At 49.0% G+C, this 19,045-nt stretch overlaps 1 protein-coding gene across 27 annotated transcripts in view, besides 4 other annotated features; it reads right to left on the bottom strand.

The window, feature by feature from the left end:
- The window catches only part of CLEC16A (C-type lectin domain containing 16A), a 237,623-nt gene that overhangs the window by 25,942 nt on the left and 192,636 nt on the right, over window positions 1-19,045 (bottom strand). For 5 of the 27 annotated variants that reach the window (XM_011522438.4, XM_047433861.1, XM_047433858.1 and 2 more), the window contains one exon: window positions 5,931-6,359. The exons of the other annotated variants lie outside the window; for them this stretch is intronic. In XM_011522438.4, the coding sequence (XP_011520740.1) occupies window positions 6,316-6,359 (44 nt within the window). In that variant the 3' untranslated portion in view covers window positions 5,931-6,315. Of the gene's footprint in view, window positions 1-5,930; window positions 6,360-19,045 lie in introns of those variants that run through there. 27 annotated transcript variants of the gene reach the window in all.
- Window positions 10,640-11,307: an enhancer, noted in NCBI's record as "H3K27ac-H3K4me1 hESC enhancer chr16:11238795-11239462 (GRCh37/hg19 assembly coordinates)". NCBI's record gives its function as "activates a minimal SCP1, AML or CMV promoter by ChIP-STARR-seq in naive H9 embryonic stem cells {active_cell/tissue: H9 hESC(naive)}" and the evidence as "EXISTENCE:reporter gene assay evidence [ECO:0000049][PMID:30033119]".
- Window positions 14,362-14,940: an enhancer, noted in NCBI's record as "H3K27ac-H3K4me1 hESC enhancer chr16:11235162-11235740 (GRCh37/hg19 assembly coordinates)". NCBI's record gives its function as "activates a minimal SCP1, AML or CMV promoter by ChIP-STARR-seq in naive H9 embryonic stem cells {active_cell/tissue: H9 hESC(naive)}" and the evidence as "EXISTENCE:reporter gene assay evidence [ECO:0000049][PMID:30033119]".
- Window positions 14,941-15,518: an enhancer, noted in NCBI's record as "NANOG-H3K27ac-H3K4me1 hESC enhancer chr16:11234584-11235161 (GRCh37/hg19 assembly coordinates)". NCBI's record gives its function as "activates a minimal SCP1, AML or CMV promoter by ChIP-STARR-seq in naive H9 embryonic stem cells {active_cell/tissue: H9 hESC(naive)}" and the evidence as "EXISTENCE:reporter gene assay evidence [ECO:0000049][PMID:30033119]".
- Window positions 15,519-16,097: an enhancer, noted in NCBI's record as "NANOG-H3K27ac-H3K4me1 hESC enhancer chr16:11234005-11234583 (GRCh37/hg19 assembly coordinates)". NCBI's record gives its function as "activates a minimal SCP1, AML or CMV promoter by ChIP-STARR-seq in naive H9 embryonic stem cells {active_cell/tissue: H9 hESC(naive)}" and the evidence as "EXISTENCE:reporter gene assay evidence [ECO:0000049][PMID:30033119]".

Raw genomic sequence — 19,045 nt, 5'->3', positions numbered from 1 at the left:
GTGTGCGCCACCATGCTCCACTAATTTTTTTTGTTTTTGTATTTTTAGTAGAGATGGGTTTCACCATGTTGGCCAGGCTGGTCTCAAACTCCTGACCTCAGGTGATCCAGCCGTCTTGGCCTCCCAAAGTGCTGGGATTACAGGCATGAGCCACCATGCCCGGCCAGGAGCGCCAGATTCTTCCCCAGCAAGTCTCTTATCCCATCAGCCCCATTTTGACCTTTTTGGCCAGAAGCAGGGAGGCCGTACAGTGTGTATCCTACACTGACATGTTTGGCCTGCTCCGTGTGTTCTAGGAGGTGGCACTGTACAAAGGGGCCAGGGAATTAGTCTTGATTCTCTGCAAAAGGCACCTGCCGTTGACACATACTTAGTATGCACCCAAGGCAGAGAGCACCATGCCTGTGGACCCATTCCATTTGCTTGTGTTCGCCAGGACTCCGACTTTGCAGGGTGGGGTAGTTAACTTCTGCAGCTGGGTCACCTCACCAAAGTCTCTCCTACCGTGTGTTTTAACAGATTGGGGCTAGGCCAGACCGATGGCTGATGACGTTCTATGACACATCATCTACAACAAGAACTGAAGATACTATCTGGAACTATGTGAGTCAGATAGAATCAGGGAGTATGTGCGGAGCCACAGAAAGGCCGTGATGGATAACAGCACAGAACAAGCTTCAAAAACCCACAGCTGAGGTTGTTAAGTGGACAGGGCTCTGTTGACGTCTGCCCTGGCAGACCTGTGGGACATGGCTAACCGGACGGCTGGACACGAGCCTTCTGCTATCTGCAGGGGAGAAACCTGAAGAGCAGCAACTTGGCTTTAGGCTTGTCACTTTTACTCTGGCTACAGGATACGGTGGTGAGGAGAGTGCCGTGGCTCTGGGCATGTGACAGCAGGGGACCTGTTCACCCCACGAGCCTGTGTCCTCTAAAGCACTGTTGTCACTCTAAAGCAGAGTGACACCACCACACCTTACAGGGTTCGTGAGGATGAAAGCATTAACGCAATCTAAATGTTCAGGTAGCACTCGCTGTTTTGATTCCTCGGCTGGAATTTACGGTGCCTGGAACTTGGGCCCAATGAGGCAATAACTGGGATTTTCTTCTCTTTTTTTGGAGACAGGGTCTCACTCTGTCACCAAGCCTGGAGTGCAGTGGCATGATCCCGGCTCACTGCAGCCTCTTGACCTCGCCAGGCTCAGCTGATCCTCCCACCTCAGCCTCCCGTGTAGCTGGGACTACAGGTGCACACCACCACACCTGGGTAATTTTTCTGTTTTTTGTAGTGGTGGGTTTTATTTATTTATTTATTTTTGAGATGGAGTCCCGCTCTGTTGCCCAGACTGGAGTGCAATGGCACGATCTCAGCTCACTACAACCTCCGACTCCCAGGTTCAAGTGATTCTCTTACCTCAGCCTCCCAAGTAGCTGGGATTATAGGCAACTGCCACCACACCTGTCTAATTTTTTTGTATTTTTAGTAGAAATGGGGTTTCACCATGTTGGTCAGGCTGGTCTCGAACTCCTGACCTCAGGTGATCCGCCCACCTCAGCCTCCCAAAGTGCTGGGATTACAGATGTGAGCCCCCACGCCTGTCCTGGGACTTTCATTTTCGTAAGTGTCTTTAGACAAAGGGGTATGTAGCAAAAGAAATGGCCCAGCTCTTTGGAGAAAAGAACGCAACACAAAACAAAAGTCTTCCTCACATTAGCTGTTATGACTGAAGATTTTAGGAGTTAACAAAGTGAGACATGAGAGAGCCTTTCTAAAGGAACTTTAAATATCTAGGTTTAAAGGATTTATATGAAAATCGTTTACGAGAAAAATGAAGTTATTTTCATCTAGATTCTTAAAAACCTCATGTTACACTGCATTCAAGACACATGACTATTCTATTTGCATTTCTTTGATAGAGAGTTGAATGGATGAGCTTGAACCATATGCAACTGCCAATATTCAACTAACTTGACCTACAGAAACAGCCATTTCATATGGTTCAATCTACTCTAAGTCCATCCCTCTTAAAGATCCCTACCAGAATAATTCATGGAGGATGGGGACGGAGGGAACAGCCAGCAGTGTATTCAAACAAATAAATGGCTTTCCCCAATTCTCCATTTCTCTTTGCCCTGTCTGCGCATGTGTGTGCAGGAGTGTGCGTGTGTACACACCTGTGTGTGTTCCTCTCTCCAGCTACATTCATCCTTTCATTTCCAAAATCGGTAGCTTCAACAAAATGCTTAGAAATAAGGTTGGCACTTATGGGGAGGTGTGTGTCTTCTTGACAGATGACCCACAAAAAGGGGACTTATTAGGAACCAGAAGGGCTTCTCAAATGGGCTAGGTTGCTCTCTTTTCCCTTTGTTCCTCCTCACAAATGCTGAGCTAATGTGTCCAACATTAAAAATCACCCTAGCTATTATGCATTTGTAGTTTTGACTTATTTTTTTAGTATTATTAATATTTCATCATAAAAGTATTGATTTCCTTTAACTAAGAGACTTTAAAGTTTACTGTATTCTTAAGCATGATTTTATTATGTCTTGGGGTCAGATGTTTTTCCCTCCCCCAGAAGGAATGCTTTTCCTTTTCTATAATGTGCGTCAAGAAGAAAGGAGGAATTGATTCACAGAATTCTGCATTACAGGCAACTTTTAAGGAACGTATCTAGTATGTATACTTAGAGTGACGTTTCTTAAACACAACTGTACGTTTCATTGTTTAGCCTTTTTAATCTGTTAGAGGTAAGAACCAAAGCACAACATTTATGTTAAAATATGAGACAGTTTCAAAGAAGCAAATCTGGGAAAATTAAGACAACTCTGGACATGACCCTAAAGCTGTCAACTCCTCACAAGTGCTCCAGGGGTCATAAAAACCTTAGTTTCTATGTTGTCATCCTCTTCCTTCAAGAAAGGCAACAGAAAACGAGAAGGAGTCCTGCTGGCACGGGGACTACCTAGAAAAGGCACCATTTCCCTTTCTATGTAAATCGCTGGTGTCAGATGCCAATTGCACAGTTGGGGAAGGAAGGCTCCGTTTTACAGAACCCATCCAGGAAGCAGGCGGAGGGCAGTAACTGGCAAACAAACACAGCGCTCTGAAATGTTTAAATATTGAACATCCTTTCTCCTTCCTCTACATTTATTATTAACTTGGGCCCACATCACTATGTGCATTGACTTCATTTCTTCCCAAGAACCCAAGACACAATGGACAATGCTCAGAGGCTGCGGGGTCGGGGTGGAGTGGAGATTTGGGTTTCTTTCTTCATACCCTCGCTGGAGATCCTTTCCAGTCAGCCCCACGGTTTTAGAGCCATGAATTCCTGGAAGCGTCTCAGCCTTTCAATGACCCCTGGCGCCCGAACGCAGATGATTAGTGCCCCAAATATTGACAGACTGGACTTTCTTCCCCTTTGACACAGGGGAGCAGTGTCAGAGGGAGGCTGGAGGAAAGATGCCGTCACCACCTGACTGGCGAGATTGTGGGAACGTCATTAGGACAGGTGCTCTATTATTTGGGACCACAGTGGTGCCCTTAGCTTTGACCAGGTAGAAACAATGCTCAGGATGCTGTGTGAATGCTACAGGGGACCTGGTTAAAAACAAACAAAACAACCCTATCTACAGACACCAGTAACTGATGTCTTTTGCTCAGCTTCTAGACAACAGAGGGGATTGGCACTGGCCCTGCTCTGACAGGTGCAACCCACCAGATGTCAATGTCCTGGACCAGCAGCTGAGCAAACACAGAGCTTGGGCCCCCCGTCATTCCTCATGAAGATGAACATTTGGGATCAGAAATAGAAACCCCAAATCTCTCCAGAAAACAAGGCAGCACCTTTTCCTGGGAACAGATAAGGGTAGCAGGAGGACCATCTGTCAGACCCATGCAGACACCAGCCGCCCGCCTGCAGAGGGAAGATCTTGTGGGTGTGCTAGCAGCATGAGCTGGTTATGAGCACTCGTTTTTCCTGGGCTTTTAGCTGTTCAAGTGAAATTGTCCCAGATGACCGGCCTAAGGCTTCCACTTTCTTTTAAAAGACAGCACTACATTTGAGATCGATGTTTTCCCCTGAAATGCAGGCTAAATTTATCCTTCCGCGCATCTTGCTCTCTGGTCTCTGTGCTAAGCTGGCCCTTGCTGTGCTGAGTTAGGCATCTGCTGTTCAATGCTGGTTCCTAGCCGGCAGTACTCAAGCACCTAGTTCTATCCTTTTGCTCATCACACACACAAAACCCCCTGGTTCTCTGAGAGATTCCTTTGCTGCCTCATTCTCTGTAGTTCCGTTAATTAAGCTCTCACTTCCCGGGTTCCTCACCCGTCTCCAGCTCTCAGAACTACCCTAAAAAGCTATCAAAAGTTGGCTCCATTTGAAAGGCTCCAGAGAGCCCCTTCCCCAGCCGGCCCCCGCCCCCCGAAAGTGGCTGAGTACTCATTACTTGATTGCCTTTTGCAACAGTGAGCTGGTGCAGGCTGCCATGAGCTTAACGGACTGAACTAAATCAGAGAAGTCGCTACTCTCTCCTGGGCTCCCTTGGCAAGCTGCCCTGTGAGTGAAATTGCACTGATTGATTTAATGCCTGAGGCCCAGAGGGCCCAGTATTTCTGAAATCTCTATTCATCTATACAGATGCAAGAGTACATGCCCCAAACAGACATTTTGAGCTACGGTTTCTACTTTGCTATTAACCCATAGACTCTCTCTCTTTTTGGCAGGAATGAGAAATAAAAAAGTGACTTGATAGAAACAATGCCTGTGCACATGCTGGCAGAGGCGCACACATATGTGCAGAGGACTTCAGCCTGGAGCACTGGGCAGGAGTCATCTGAGAGCCCAGGTGAATGAAGACAAGGGCCCAGGTGTGACCAGGTGGGCATCCCCCTACTCTGCTTTCTGGAAGGCAATTTGGCAAGGTGCCACCCAGAGCCTGACAAATGGACAGTCCCCCTGACTCTAAGGAATGGTTTCTGGAGGAATAATTGGAAATGTAGACCAAGATTTCTGAATAAGGATGTTTGTCATAGGGTGCTTCATAAGGTAGTAGAAACAACGTAAGTGGCCAGTATAAGCGGATTAAGTAAAATCTGGCAAATTCAGACTGTTTTGTGTTTCACTGTGTCCCCTTCAAATTCTTAGGTTGAAGTCCTAACCTCTAGTACCTCAGACTCAGAATGTGACCTCGTTTGGAAATGGGGTCATTTTACAGATGCAATTAGTTAAAATGAGGTCATTAGGTTTGGTCCTAATCCAATATGTCTGTGCCTCCTAAAAAATGAAAATTTGGACGCAGATTTTCACACAGGTAGAACATCACGTGAAGATGAAGGCAAGACTGGGGTGATACTTCTATGAGCCAAAAAGTAGCAAAGATTGCCAGCAAAACACCAGAAGCCAAGGAGGGAGGCCTGGACCAGAGTCCTCCTCACACCCCTCAGAGGAAACCAGCCCTGCCAATACCTTGATTTTGCACTTCTACCCTCCAGACCTGTGAGACAATCAATTTCTGCTGTTTATGCCACCCAGTTTGTGGGACTTTGTTATGGCCACCTCAGGAAACTAACACTCAGACAATGGACTATTATGCAGTCATCAAGAATGAAGTTTAGAAGAGGCATTTTACAGTACAGGGAAGTGCTTCTGACATGATGGCAATGTTGTGAAAACAAAACCTTGTGACTTGGCAGTTCTGCTTCTTGTACTGCACGTGCACACAGAGAGAGGTGTGCCCAAGGATGCCCACTGCAACGCTGCCCGGGATAGAAAAAGACTAGGATGACTGAATCACTCAGCCAAAGAAACGCAAGTAGCCAAGCTTTGGAATACTATGCAGCCGTGAAAAGGAATGTGTGAAATCTGTAAGTGCTAACACAGATTCCTGATTTACAGTGGTGTCTGAAAAGAGCAAGGTGCAGCAGGGTATACAGAATTATGATTTTATTTAAGGGAAGCCCAAACCTTAACACAATTACAGATCCATACTTAACTCCTTATCCTAAACCTCTGTGGCCAGATATGTCTTGGAATTTAGAATCTTTAGGAGGTAAAAGGCCATGTAGGGCACACATAGGTATTACGTTACACTGTCAGCTGGGTCGTGAGCAGCTAAAACCAAACACTGAATTTTTGCAGAAACGAAAACATAAACTCACAATTACTGGCATCAATGACTCTAATAAACCCGCCCATAAATACCTGAAGGCAGGTTTTGGTTTTGCCATCATACGAGTTAGGAAAAATATTTTGATTTTCAGAGCTGTTTGGGTTTCAGAATTGCAGAGAAGGGGTGGTGGCTCTGTTCTGTTCATCAGCTCTGGCACATGTATGAAATGCAACTGCACAGAGAAGGGTCTGGAAAAATAAAAATAAGGCAAATGATGACTGAGGAAGGGTGGTAACTGATGGGGTCTTAAGTCGCACCTGCAATGTTGCAATTTTTTTTTTTTTTTTAAGACAGTCTCACTTTGTCACCCAGGCTGGAGTGAACTGGTGTGATCTTGGCTCACTGCAACCTCTGCCTCCCAGGTTCAAGCCATTCTCATGTCTCAGCTTCCCAAGTAGCTGGGATTACCGGTGGGCACCATCATGCCCAGCTATTTATATTTTTAGTGGAGATGGGGTTTTGCCATGTTGCTCAGGCTGGTCTTGAACTCTTGAGCTCAGGCAATCTGCCTGCCTCAGCCTCCCAAAGTGTTGAGATTACAGGCATGAGCCACTGTGCCCAGCCTGATTTTTTCAAAAATCAACAATCAACTCATGTATTTTTTTTTTTAAATGAGAGAAAGAGACAAAACAGGGAAGACAGAAGTGGAAAATAAACAGAAATATTAACAATGCTTTCTTCTGGGTTGATAGGATTGTGATTTCTTCTTCCTGTAGCTTCTCAGTTTTCATTTATAATATTCTACGTTCATGTATTAATGCACAAAAATTAATACAACGGGTCTGCAGTAATAGCAAAACAGCTGACCGGTTCCATCCATTCCTGTTATCAGCTCATCCCCAGGGCCTCAGTGACCCCATGGGGTCAAGTCCCGCTGCCTGCCTGACTCACCACCACTGGTGACTTGTGCTCCGACAGCCCCACACCTCCCTGGCTGTGAAGCCTGGCCCCTCCCCTGGCCTCTGCTAACATACTGGCCACTTTGATTCACCATCTCTCTTTCTCCCTGTCCTTTATTTTTCTGCCCTCTTTGGCCTTTGATTGCTTTTTGGGAGTTTATCATATTGAACTTGTATCCCTTTCCGGGAAACTCTATTAGTTTTTTCTTCCCTTTCACAATTAATAAATAATCATGAGAGCCCTTCTATGGATAGAAGTACATCCTGCCTCCTACACAGAACTGCTGGAGCTTCTCTTTTGTGGCTCTTCTGGGCCTGAGCTGAAGCGCACATCACCTGTCACAGGAGGGAGAGCATTCTGGTGCATCGCTGTGCTCGGAGAAAGGGTGCCAGCCGTTGGCTCATTATTTGAACTGCTCCTGGTCCTACAAGATGGCTGTGCTTTCCTGGCCATACAGGGGATGGAGCACTGGCCTGGGAGTCTAAAGGCTGGAGTATGGACAGGGAAACGGAGGCGCATAATATAAGCTAAGATGGTGGGCTTTGGTGGCAGACAGACATGGGTTCAAGCCACAGCCCTGATGCTGACTGGCTGTGTAATGGAAATTGTAGCCTTGAGCCTCCATTTCCCTGGCATAATATGGGGGAAATAATCCCTATGTCATACATCATTGTGAGGATTAAGTGAGAAGAGTACACACAACCTTGCTTGGCACAGTGTCTGATATGCAGTAATTGCTCAATAAACAGTACCTGTATTGTCAAGTTCTAGTGCCTCCAGACCTCCTCCACCAGGAGGTGGAGGTTTCTACCATACAAAAAGGCCACAACTAGCCCTAACTACATCCAAGACATAACATGTGGCATTTGAGATGACATTTTTAAAAGTCATTGGCATGAGTTGGACGTGGTTGCCGGCATACCATCTAGCAGCACCAGGAAATAAGTTCCGGAACAACAAACAGGTACTGGTCACCTGTTTTCCATCTCAAATCCACAACACGAACTACTCACCGCACTTCTAATGTTCACAGCAGTGATTCTAATTCTTTCTTTCCCAGAAATCATGAATCTGAGGTCAGACCACAATCAACAGAGATTTCTGGAAAGGTATGAAATGCAAACTTATCTCATAATTTACAGGAAAGAAAAGGAAACAGGAGGCTATTTTACCAGTAAGAACAGAGTTTTTTTCTCAAAGTCAAAAAGAAATGGAAAAAAGGCACGTTTTAGGGAAGAGAAAGGGTGCCAGGTGAGTCTGGATTGCATCAAGGTTTCCAAATTATTCCGGAATGTGTTGCAGGTTCCAACTTCTTTTTTTACATTTGGACTGCTTTAAGGAAAATGTTACATACATTGAACTATTTTATGATCAAAATGGGACACAAATGAGATAATCTGGTCTTTATGTGCTGTCGGATGACAGCTTTGTGACAGTCTGACAAGTTGAGAGCTGTATTTTTTAATACAACAGTTTCATTGAGATAGAATTCACATACTGTACAATGAATCCATTTAAAGTGTACAATTCATGGACTTTAAGTGTATTCATAGAGTTGTGCAACCACCTCCACAATCAATTTAGAACATTTTCATCCCCTACCTAAGAAGTTCTGAGTAGAGCTTGCAGCAGGGGATTACAAACACTTTACTCCTAACCCTGCTCTGCAGAACAACCTGGAACCTCGCCTTCAGAGAACCTTGCCCTCCAGGTTCTGTCGGCCATTCTCTTGCACGTGGCTCAAAACATTTCATCTTCAAATCAGGCCCAAGTCCAAGAACTTTCCCTTTCCAAAGAATTCATTACAGGAAAATATCCCAGGTCAAATTCCTCCTTTTGTACTAATGATGCGAGTAGTCAGGGCCACGGCAGGGCATGCTGGGCTGAATATCTACCTGGGATACAGGACTGGGGTCTCAGCTCCCCTTATCTGGCCAGGGCGGAAATTGATGACAAAGGGGAATTCTGTGCCTAGCCAAACTGTTGCCAGGTGTCAAACGGGCAGCAACATATTCATTCCTTGGGGATTGGGCAGCCTGTGGGCTGAGACATCAATGCTCTCCTGTCTATGGCAGCCCCTGTCTGGGACACAAGGTTCTCGGCGCTCTTCCTCTACCTCCTCCTCCCAGGTCAACATCCTTTCCTCAGAGAAGCCTTCCCAGACACCTGGTCTGGGTCAGATCCCCTTACTGGACATTAACTCAGCATCTGCCAGTTCCCTGAGGGCACCAAACATGGTGGGAAGTTCTAGACTATCTAAGGTGTCCACAGTGCCCATGAGCTCCAAAGGGGCTGATGTGTTTTGTTTGACTAACCCCTGAGTCCCCAGTGAACAATGTTTAGCACACAGAAGGGGGGATTAAAGATCTGTTGGCTCCACCATCCATCCATCCCTCTCTCCCTCCCTCCCTCCCATCCGGCCATCCACCCATCCATTCCTGCACCTCTATCCATCTATCCACCCAGCAGCCACCTACCCATTTACCCATCTGCCAGTCCATCTATCTATCCAGGCTTCTATCTATCCCTGTACACCAATCAATCCACCTACCCATCCATCCCTCTCTACCCATCCATCAATCCCTCTACATCCATCCATCCCCTCTCCCTCCACCTCCATCCTTCTATACCCATCCATCCTTCTACACCCATCCCTCCCTCCCTCCCTCTACATCCATTCATCCATCTACCCCTTTACCCATTTATCCATCCTCTATATTCATCTATTTATTCATTCATCCCTCTATATCCAAATATCCATCCATCGATCCATTTATCCAGTACTTACCAAGCACTACCTATATGTCTGGTATAGCCCAGGACTTGGAAATTCAGCTGTAAACAAAACACAGTGCCTGTTTTCCTGGAGCTTACAGTTTGATAATGGGATGGGACAGGGCAGGGCCAGTCAAGGAGTAGAAAATGTCAGGAGAGGTTGAGTGCTCTGAAGGAATGAGCAAGGTAGAGACCCCTGGAGTGCTGGGAGTGGGGACAGGGTTGCCACTATATAGAATATCTGGCAAGACCTTCTGAGATGGTGAGGTCTGAAGAATGATCTGAAGGAAGCAAGGACAGAGCCACATAGGTACCCAGGGCGACTTCTCCAAACAGAGGCCACCCAGGTCAGGGCCCTCCAAATAGGAGCATACCTAGCAAGGTCAAGGCTGCGGAGAGGCCCCTTAAGTTGCCTTGAAGTGGGCCAAGGGGACCATGGCGGGGGTGAGGTTAGTGTCAGGAAGTGCAGAGGGACCAAACTGTGTAAAACGTGGGGCTACCGTGAGGACTTTGGCTTTCATCTGAGTGATGGGAGCCAGCGAAGAATCTAAGTAGAGGAGACACTTGACCCGACTCACACCCTGAAAGGATCTTTGGTGCTAAGAATGGACCATAGAGGGCAAGGAGAGCAACAGTGGGGCTGAGTTTAAAGCCACCGGCCCAGGCTTGGCCAAGGTCAGGAGTCAGCACACAATGCCCTGCGGGCCAAATCCAGCCACCTGCTGTCCTGCCAGGGAAGACTGATGGGGGCACAGCCCCACCCACTTGGTAACGTATGCTCTACAGCTGCTTTGGCTGCAATGGGAGAGGCTTGTTGCGACAGAGACCATATGGCCCTAAAAGCCTGACTCTCTGCTGCTTAAAGAAGTTACCCAGCCCTTTGCCCAGGAGACAGGTGTGGTGGTGAGAGGTCCTTGTCATGACTGCATCTCCCAGGTAGAGCTGACAGGCTTGGGGAGGGACTGGATGCAGGAGTGGGAGAGGCCGCGGATGACATTGGCTTTGGTCCTGGACTAATGGGTGGATTTGGGCTCCAGCTGTGTGACTCAAGGAAGTGTTGTTGGCTGCCTCTTCCTTCCAGCTAAGTGTGGGTCATCGGGCCCCACGGGTAGCCCGCCCTAAGGCCGGCCCCATCAGTGACTGTTTTCCCGCTCCAAGGGCTGTGTGTGGTCGGAGTAGAGTGGGACCTTCGCCCTCTGCTTGAAGCCCATCAGCTATTCCCTGGGCCCTCCAACCAAGTCCAGGACAGGTAATCGGGAGCAGGGGCCATTCCCACGTGGCTTTATCTCCTGCTGACCCCTATCCTCAGGCTGCCTGCAGGACCCATGTGCACATGGTGGTTTTCACAGCCCGCTCATTCCCCCTGCCGGGATGCACCACGTGAAACCTAGCTCATCCTTTAAGACTTCCTTCCAGAGCCTTCCCTGCTCTAGGTCTGGTACAAAAGTGAGTTAGCCCCAGGACACCATGAACTCCATGAGGGCAGGGCCATCCAGAACCCATTTCCCAGTTCTTAGCACAGCCGTCCCCCAAGGCATGACAAGCTTTGTGGAATTGGCCTCTCCTGAAACTGGCCCCAGCGCACAAAACATCCCACTCCTATACCCAGAATCCCTCCTACCCCAAGCACGCTAGAGCCACTGCTCCTACAGAAGAGAATGTCACCAACGGCCCTCTCTTCACTGTGACTTAACTGGGTTAGGCCTGGATGTTGGGCTTTTCTAAAAGCTTTCAAGGTGATTTTAAAAATGCACAGCTAGGGCCGAGGACCACAGGGCTGGCCTGGCTCAGGCGTGGGCCTCAAGCTGGGGAAGATCCTACAGGCATGAGGGCTCCGTACTTCCAAAAGAACCATGCCTCTGGGCACCTAGGCACTGTTAGGGCTGCCTGTAGGTCCCTCTCAGCTGAGGGGAGGGTGGCTTTTCTTTGCCATTGTGAGGTTCCAGTTGAGTGGCTTCCTGATCATCTAGTTGGCTGTCCCACAGAAGTTGTGGAGGTACAGGACGGAGAATGAACACAGCTGTCTGCCTGGAGGAGCAAAGAGCTGACCCAAGGGCTATGCTGAGCTGAGCAGGCCTCGTCACCCCTGGCAACAGGAGACTGAGGCCGCTGTCCAGCTGCAGGCTGCAGGGACGCCCCAAGAGGATGGATGTTCACTCAGCTCCTTGCTCTCCTGGGATAGCATGATTTGCTCATTTGGGTGCAGTTCCCTACCAAGTTTCAGAGATGTATTCACTCTAAGGTGGATAAGGTAGCTTGGGAGATGACCAGCCTAGTAGTATTCTGAGAAAGTGCCGAGCGACAGGGCTAGGAGGCACTCTCAAGGCAAGGTTCTGGGTTTGCAGATTTAAGGTCAATGACTTAGAATTATCCTCCAATGGGCTTGATAATTATGGGGTTCTGATCCTTCTGGCAGGCCTCTGAGCCTTATCAGTAACAACACAGGATAGGGAATAAGAATAAAAAATGAGAACACAGAGCAGGAGGCCAGGGTCAGGCCAAGCCAGGATAGGACACTGGCTTTGCTGTGCACTAGCTGTGCAACTCCAGGTAAGTTACTTAACCACCCTGAGCCTCAGAAAACCTCAACTGCAAAATGAACATATGCCTACCTTTCCCCAGGGAGGTTCTGACGATGAGCTAATGCATGAATGGAAGATGCCTTTAACAGCTTCAAGTGCAGAAGGTGTCACATCGATGGGGACCCAGGGGAGCCTACTCTGCTCTCACCCTGGGCGCCCCTGCACATGCTATTCCCTATCCTGTCTGCTCTGAGGAACACTCCCACGATCTGCTGGACGGCAGATGCAGCTGACAGCAGTAGCTTCACTTAAGCCCTTTGTTTTAGGTTAAATGAAGGTTGCCAGGTAGAGGTTGCTAGGGGGAGGGTGCTAAGGGAAACTGCTATATAAGTGGCATGGTTTTTACAAGCGGCTGTGGCTTTCCCACCCAGCCTGCTGCCACTGGACTGACCCTGTACATTAAGTCCTTGATGAACCCTATGTCTCATTTGCTGGCACCAGGTCTCTTCTTCAGCCTCTGGAACCTGGTGCCATCCCTACTGAGGTCAAACGAGGACTGGCATGATATCTGCCCACTCACCTGCTCAAAGATGTCTTCCCCATCCCTACTAGACCAGCCAGGCTCTGTATTATAAATGCATTAGTAATGGGTGTTATTAGTTGAATGCTGTCTGTCACTCTCACAAGACTGCAAGCTCACCAGGTCACCAACCCCAAGCACAGGGCGTGGCACACAGTAGGTGCTCAATAAATGTTTACTGGATAGGCCGGGCACAGTGGGTCATGCCTGTAATCCCTGCACTTTGGGAGGCCAAGGCCGGGTGGATCACCTGAAGTCAGAAGTTCGAGACCAGCCTGGCCAACATGGTGAAACTCCATTTCTACTAAAAATACAAAAATTAGCTAGGCGTGGTGGCAGGCGCCTGTAATCTCAGCTACTTGGAAGGCTGAGGCAGGAGAATCACTTGAACCAGGGGGGCGGAGGTTGCAGTGAGCTGAGATTGTGCCACTGCACTCCAGCCTGGGTGATAGAGCAAGACTCTGTCTCCAAAAAAATAAAAAAGTTTACTGGAAAAAGGAATGAATAAAAAGACAAGCCACTGCTTTCCTCAGAAGCCTACCTCTGTAGATCCATGAAGACAATAAGCTAAAGAAGTCCCAAACTCACATCACTGAAGGGCTTAACTACACTCTTGGCCAGACCCAGAACCTTCCAGAAAGATTCTAAATTTGCTCCTGACCAGCAGACCTTAAATCTCCACTGCAGAGGCTCCTGTGCCTGGGCTGCACCAGTGTGTACCACTGCAGGTCAGTGCCTTATTATGATTTTTAAAAGAGTTCTAGCTCAGAGCCAGCCGGGGCTGTGAAAAGCAGGAGAAAAAGCTGTTGACACATCACACCTATCGGGCAAATGCCACTCGGCTCATGAAGCCTAGACAGCTGCTTAGTGCCAAGGGCCAAGCACAGGCACCTCCAGGCCTGCTTGATCACAGCGCTCTGACAGGCGTGCCCAGGAGCCACGCATGTGAGGCTGCAAGTATGATCACAGTGCCCCCAGCTTCCAACTACAGCTCCCCCAGGGCAAGGCCAAGAATTTTGTCAGGTTCCCGGGCCCTGAGGAGGATCCCTGGACACTGGACTGAGCAGACTGTGGGGGTCCGATGGCCTAGCAGTGGGTTTCAGCAACACCACCTACCACTGAGTGACTTCGGGCAAGTTACCTCACCTCTCTGGGCCTCAGCCTCCTCCCCCGGTAAGTAGGGAGAGTAACCATACCTGCCTCCCTGCTGTGAACCTGGGCTGTGGAGATACTTAGCCCAGTGCTGGCAGCTCGATGAGTCTCACAGAATGCTCTGTCAGACATCCCCAGTGCCCGAGTCATTTAAACCTTTCAACCTCAGGACAGTGTGGGGGCCAAGTGCAAAGCACACTACTGCTTCCTGTTGTGTGACCTGCGCTGGTCAGCTCACCTCTCAAGCCTCTCCCACCTCACTACGCTCTGCGGTTACTGAGATCACAAATGGGAAATGCTTTGCCTGTCCCAAGCTGCTACACGATGTGCAGAGGCAGCGCCGTTCTCAGGAGCAGATCTGTCATAACCAGGCACGCTGTCCCCACCGCCATCACTGACCATGCTAGCCAAGGGCACCTCCCACATCCCAGACCGTCCCTCACCCAGCTGCCCTGGTTTCTGGTGGGACCCCAGTGGCCCCGCACTGCTGTCTCCAATCCACTTCCCACACGGTACGTGCAAGGAGCTTGGACAGACATGCGTCAGGTCCAGCCACTTCCCTGCTTCGCGGCCCCGAGGCCACCCAGAGCACGCAGAATGAAACTCACATGTCTCCTTGCACCCCTCCAGATCCCCCACGGTCCCCGACAACCCAGTGCCCCCCACACCCCGTGCTCTGGCGGCATGAACCCTCTGGGTGACTTGCCCTGTTGAGGCCCCCACCACTTCAGGTATCCCCCTGGCCCCATGGTCATCCTTTTCCATGTCTGCCTCCTGTGAGTGAGCTGTCCTCTGCACGGGGGCCTAGGACGGGTTGCAGGAGGCACTTGGTGTGCACTGGCTGGAAGAAGGAACCATGCCAGAGATGGTGACTTCCATGGTGGCTCCAACAGGGCAGGTGCTCAGAACTCTACCTGCCTGGTGCTGTCCATATGGCTGGCAGAGCCCAAAAGCACTGGCTAGAATACTTGGGAGGACCCTACGGAAAAGCCTGGAGGAGCCAGGCCAACTGCTCTGCAAGTGACTCCAGCCAGGGCCATGAAGCTGGGAGTGCTGGCTTGCCACCCCTGAGCTTGCGACCTTGGGCAGGCAGCTCTATCCGTCTGAGCCCTGGCTCCCTCCTCAACAGCAGTGGCCATTATGACACTACGATAACGTGAAGCACTCACATGTAAAATGCTGGCCCAGCTAAGCTCCTGCTGTGTGAGGCAGGTCCTATCATCAGCCCCATTTGAAAGAAGGGGACACAGAGGCTCAGGAGCTTCACAGAACTTCCTGACATCACATAGTTGTCTAGGGGTAGGTGTGGATTTGAACCTGGGGGGTCTGGCTCCAGGGTGTGTGGCCCTAGCCTCTTGATTGCAATGGCTTCCTCGGCAGGGCTGTGGCACAGTTTAAACAACACAATGGCTTACACCTGGGCACAGCAGGTGCACTGATGATGGTGGCTTTCAAGCTGCTCAAGTCCGGCAGCTTGAGCAAGCCTTTCAGGTGCTTCGTGTTGGGTCAGCACAAAGGGCCACTCTGTGGGACATGGTGGGGACAGGAGGACAGGCCAGATTCTGCATTTGTTCTTTGCTGGATGTGGAGAGAGGGCAGGATGGGAAAGCCATGGCCTCCACCAGGCCAAGCACTGCTTTGAGATGCTAGACCACTGTGCTGAGCCCGTGGACATTTCCCTTGGGCTTCATGCTGGAAATCTGGCCAAAAAAAGAACGTTTTTCTCCCCAAATGCCCAAGACTTTGTAAATGTCAACTATTTCAGAGCATTTTCCGGGTTACTAAGAGCGGTGGTGGGGGTTTTTGAGGAAGGCTCATTCCATCCACACTGACTCTTCCTGCCACCCAGCCATCCGTGAGGTTCAACAGGACATCCGTGAGCCAGGAGGCTGGAGTGTGCCTGGAACCCAGCACCGGAGACCCAGCTGTGGGCCGGTGAGGTCATCGTGCTCAGAAAGCCACAACAAAGGGGCACGTAGGTTACCCCAGAAGCTCTGCAGAGCCTTCAAATCAACTTAGCAGGAAGAGAAAGAACAAAGGACAAGAGATAACTTTTGTTCTCAGGAAGCCGGTAGAAGAGGTAGAAGAAGCAGGCACCCTCTCCAGGGATGAACTTTGAGACTCCGGGCAGGGGACCTTGCTTTCTGACTCTTGCTTGCCCCAGCTATAAAAGTAGGACTAATAACTTTATACAGTATTTACATACTTATCTCCTTATTTTGTGTAAAGCACCTAGCCCAGTGCCTAGCACATAGTTGGCATTCAATAAATAGGATTTTTATCCTGGGACCTTAAATAAGTCTGTAAGGCTAGAAGTAGACCACATATGCCATGAGCCTGAATTTTACCAGCTAGCAAATATTTTCAGAGGAGTCACTGCACTTCACAGTCCAAACTTTGCAGTTCATACAGTTGAAGCATCTGCTCCCCAAATCACGCTGTGAATTTCTCACCCTCAACATGGAAACTGAGGCGGCGACTTTCAAGGACTGAGCTCACAGCAGGGAGTGACAGAGACAGTAAAACAATCCAGCAGCCAGGCTGATGGGTTTTGGAATGTGTTTTTGTGATTACTCTGAGGCTTCAGCAAGCAGGCTGTGTAAGTGTGAAGAGATGTTGCAAAACAGCCATTCCTATCACACTGGGATAATATTGACTTTTGGCCCTTTGGGAATTTGAGATGTTAAAAAAAATAATACTGTGTGTGTTTTTGGAGAAAAGCATATTTATACTAAATGCCATGGCTGGACAGCTGCAAATAAAGAAAACTGTATTTTAGTCATGGGATTCTGGTTATAGAGAGAAAAGAAGTGTAGAAAGCTGTAACCTCAGCAGAGGTGCCAGGAGGTGGGAACAGAACCCACTGGTGTCTCCATCATGCCAAGCTTGGAGGTTCTGTCTGAGATGACAAGCCAAGCTATGAGTGGGCCACCCCGGAGACCCCCACCAGTTCCTGGGGACCCTTCTAGTCACCACAACTCCCGAAGGCCTTCTGGACAGAACAAGACCCACAAGACACACAAGGACTGTTGGGTCAGAAGTTGGGATCATCGAGATGCCCTTGCTAGCTAAATGCACAGAGAACATTCGGGGAGGGAAACCAAGCCTTCTTAAGATTTTGCCTTAAGCTAGCTCTGTGGCTTCCCACTCCCTCAGTCAAATTGGTCACCAAATCCTGTTAGTTTCTCAGCGTAGCTATTTCTGTTTTCACTTCATGGTTATTTACCCTGAGGAAACCCTTGCGCAAGGGCACTTGGAGATGCCTATTTGTTAAAGGACAAAAAATTGGCCACCACCTAAACATCCATCAGTAGGGGACTGGCTCAATGAACAGTGGTTTGACCAGATGATCGCAGCAGTCAAAATCGAATGAGGGTGCGCCTGCGAACTAAAATGAAAAACACTCCAGGATACGCTGTTGAGTGAAAACAGTGGTCATTTAGGTTTTTTGAAACAAGCAATATAATCCTATAGTACAAGTAAGTGGCAAATGGCCAGAGAAAGGTAAGGAAGGCCGCACCCCAGCCTGTGGGACTTTTCTCATCCGCCCACGGGCATCACCTGACGCACAGCTGTGAGCATGCAGTGAAGGGGCCAGAATGTGTCTTGTGGCCTTCCCACTCCACCCTTCTCCTCTGCCCTTCCCAACTCCAGTCAGTTAAAACCCAAGTCCATTTTGCCACCCATGTCCCCTGATCTGTCTTAGAACCTTCAATGGCTTCCTGCTGCTTCTAGGATAAAATTCGAACCATGGGGCAAGCTCACAAAGCGCTTTGCTATCGGGCCCTGCTGAGCTTCCCAGCTCTCTGTTCATCCCTACCCTGCAGCCACACCTTTGCATGTGCCAAGCCAGAAGCACCACAGAGCCCACTAGCTGGCAAGACTTGCTCACAGTCCCTCCCCCTGACCCCAGGCTTCTCTGTAAGCCCTGTGCAGTGTTTATTTGATTCATCAAGGGCCTTAGTAAACGCTTGCTCAGCCAACCTTCCTTTTCCTGACCCTCGTCAACATGTTTGTCATGTCACTTCCTTGGAATTGTAAAAGTTCCTTTAAAAAATGCCAATTCTTTCCCTACCCCAATTCTTCTCCACCAGGCGGTCCCGTACCCTGGCCCCCAGGAGCTGCCGTGCTTTGAAGAGGCCATCAGCAGCATGAAGGAAACGGCCACGTGGAAAATCAAATGGCTTCTGCCTGTCTCTGAGGCACCATTATTGCTGCATCTCTGCCTTTTGATTCAGTTGGTTTTTCCCATTCTTAGTGGGTCCTCACGAACTAACTCTCCTTCCCACCAACTGTGCACTCGGCAATACTGCTTATTTGCATTTCCCTTTTTTTTGAGAGGGAGTCTCGCTCTGTTACCCAGGCTGGAGTGCAGTGGTGCGACCTTGGTTCACTGCAACCTCCACCTGCCAGGTCCAAGCAATTCTCCTGCCTCAGCCTCCTGAGTAGCTGGGACTACAGGCACACACCACCACGCCCGGCTACTTTTTGTATTTTTAGTAGAGATGGGATTTCACCATGTTGGCATTTCACTTTTTTTTTTTTTTTTTTTTTTTTAGATGGAGTCTCGCTCTGTCACCCAGCTAGTCTGGAACTCCTGACCTCAGGTGATCCACTCGCCTCGGCCTCCCAAAGTGCTGGGATTAAAGGTGTGAGCCACCACGCCCAGCTGGCATTTCATTTTCTTGGATCCCAAAGGCACTCTAATTCTTGGGAAGTGGTTCCCAAACCTTGTTCCAGGGGATTGTCTTTGAGCTAGTCAGAGAGATTTTAAGGCAAAAATCAAATCAAGATGGACTTTTATCAACTTACATACAGAATTAAGGGCTAGGAATTTTTCGTTTCTCGGTTTTCTGCCATAAAGGGGCCTTCACACCTTGGCATCTCCTATCACTTGTCTGTTAATGAGAACTTGCGGTTGATAAAACAAATGATTCAGAAGCAA

Source organism: Homo sapiens, chromosome 16 (assembly GCF_000001405.40).
Source record: "Homo sapiens chromosome 16, GRCh38.p14 Primary Assembly".
In the NCBI taxonomy this organism is placed as follows: Eukaryota; Metazoa; Chordata; class Mammalia; order Primates; family Hominidae; genus Homo; species Homo sapiens.
The sequence above is the reverse complement of the archived record's forward strand: the minus strand, read 5'-3'. Positions and strand labels throughout refer to the sequence as shown.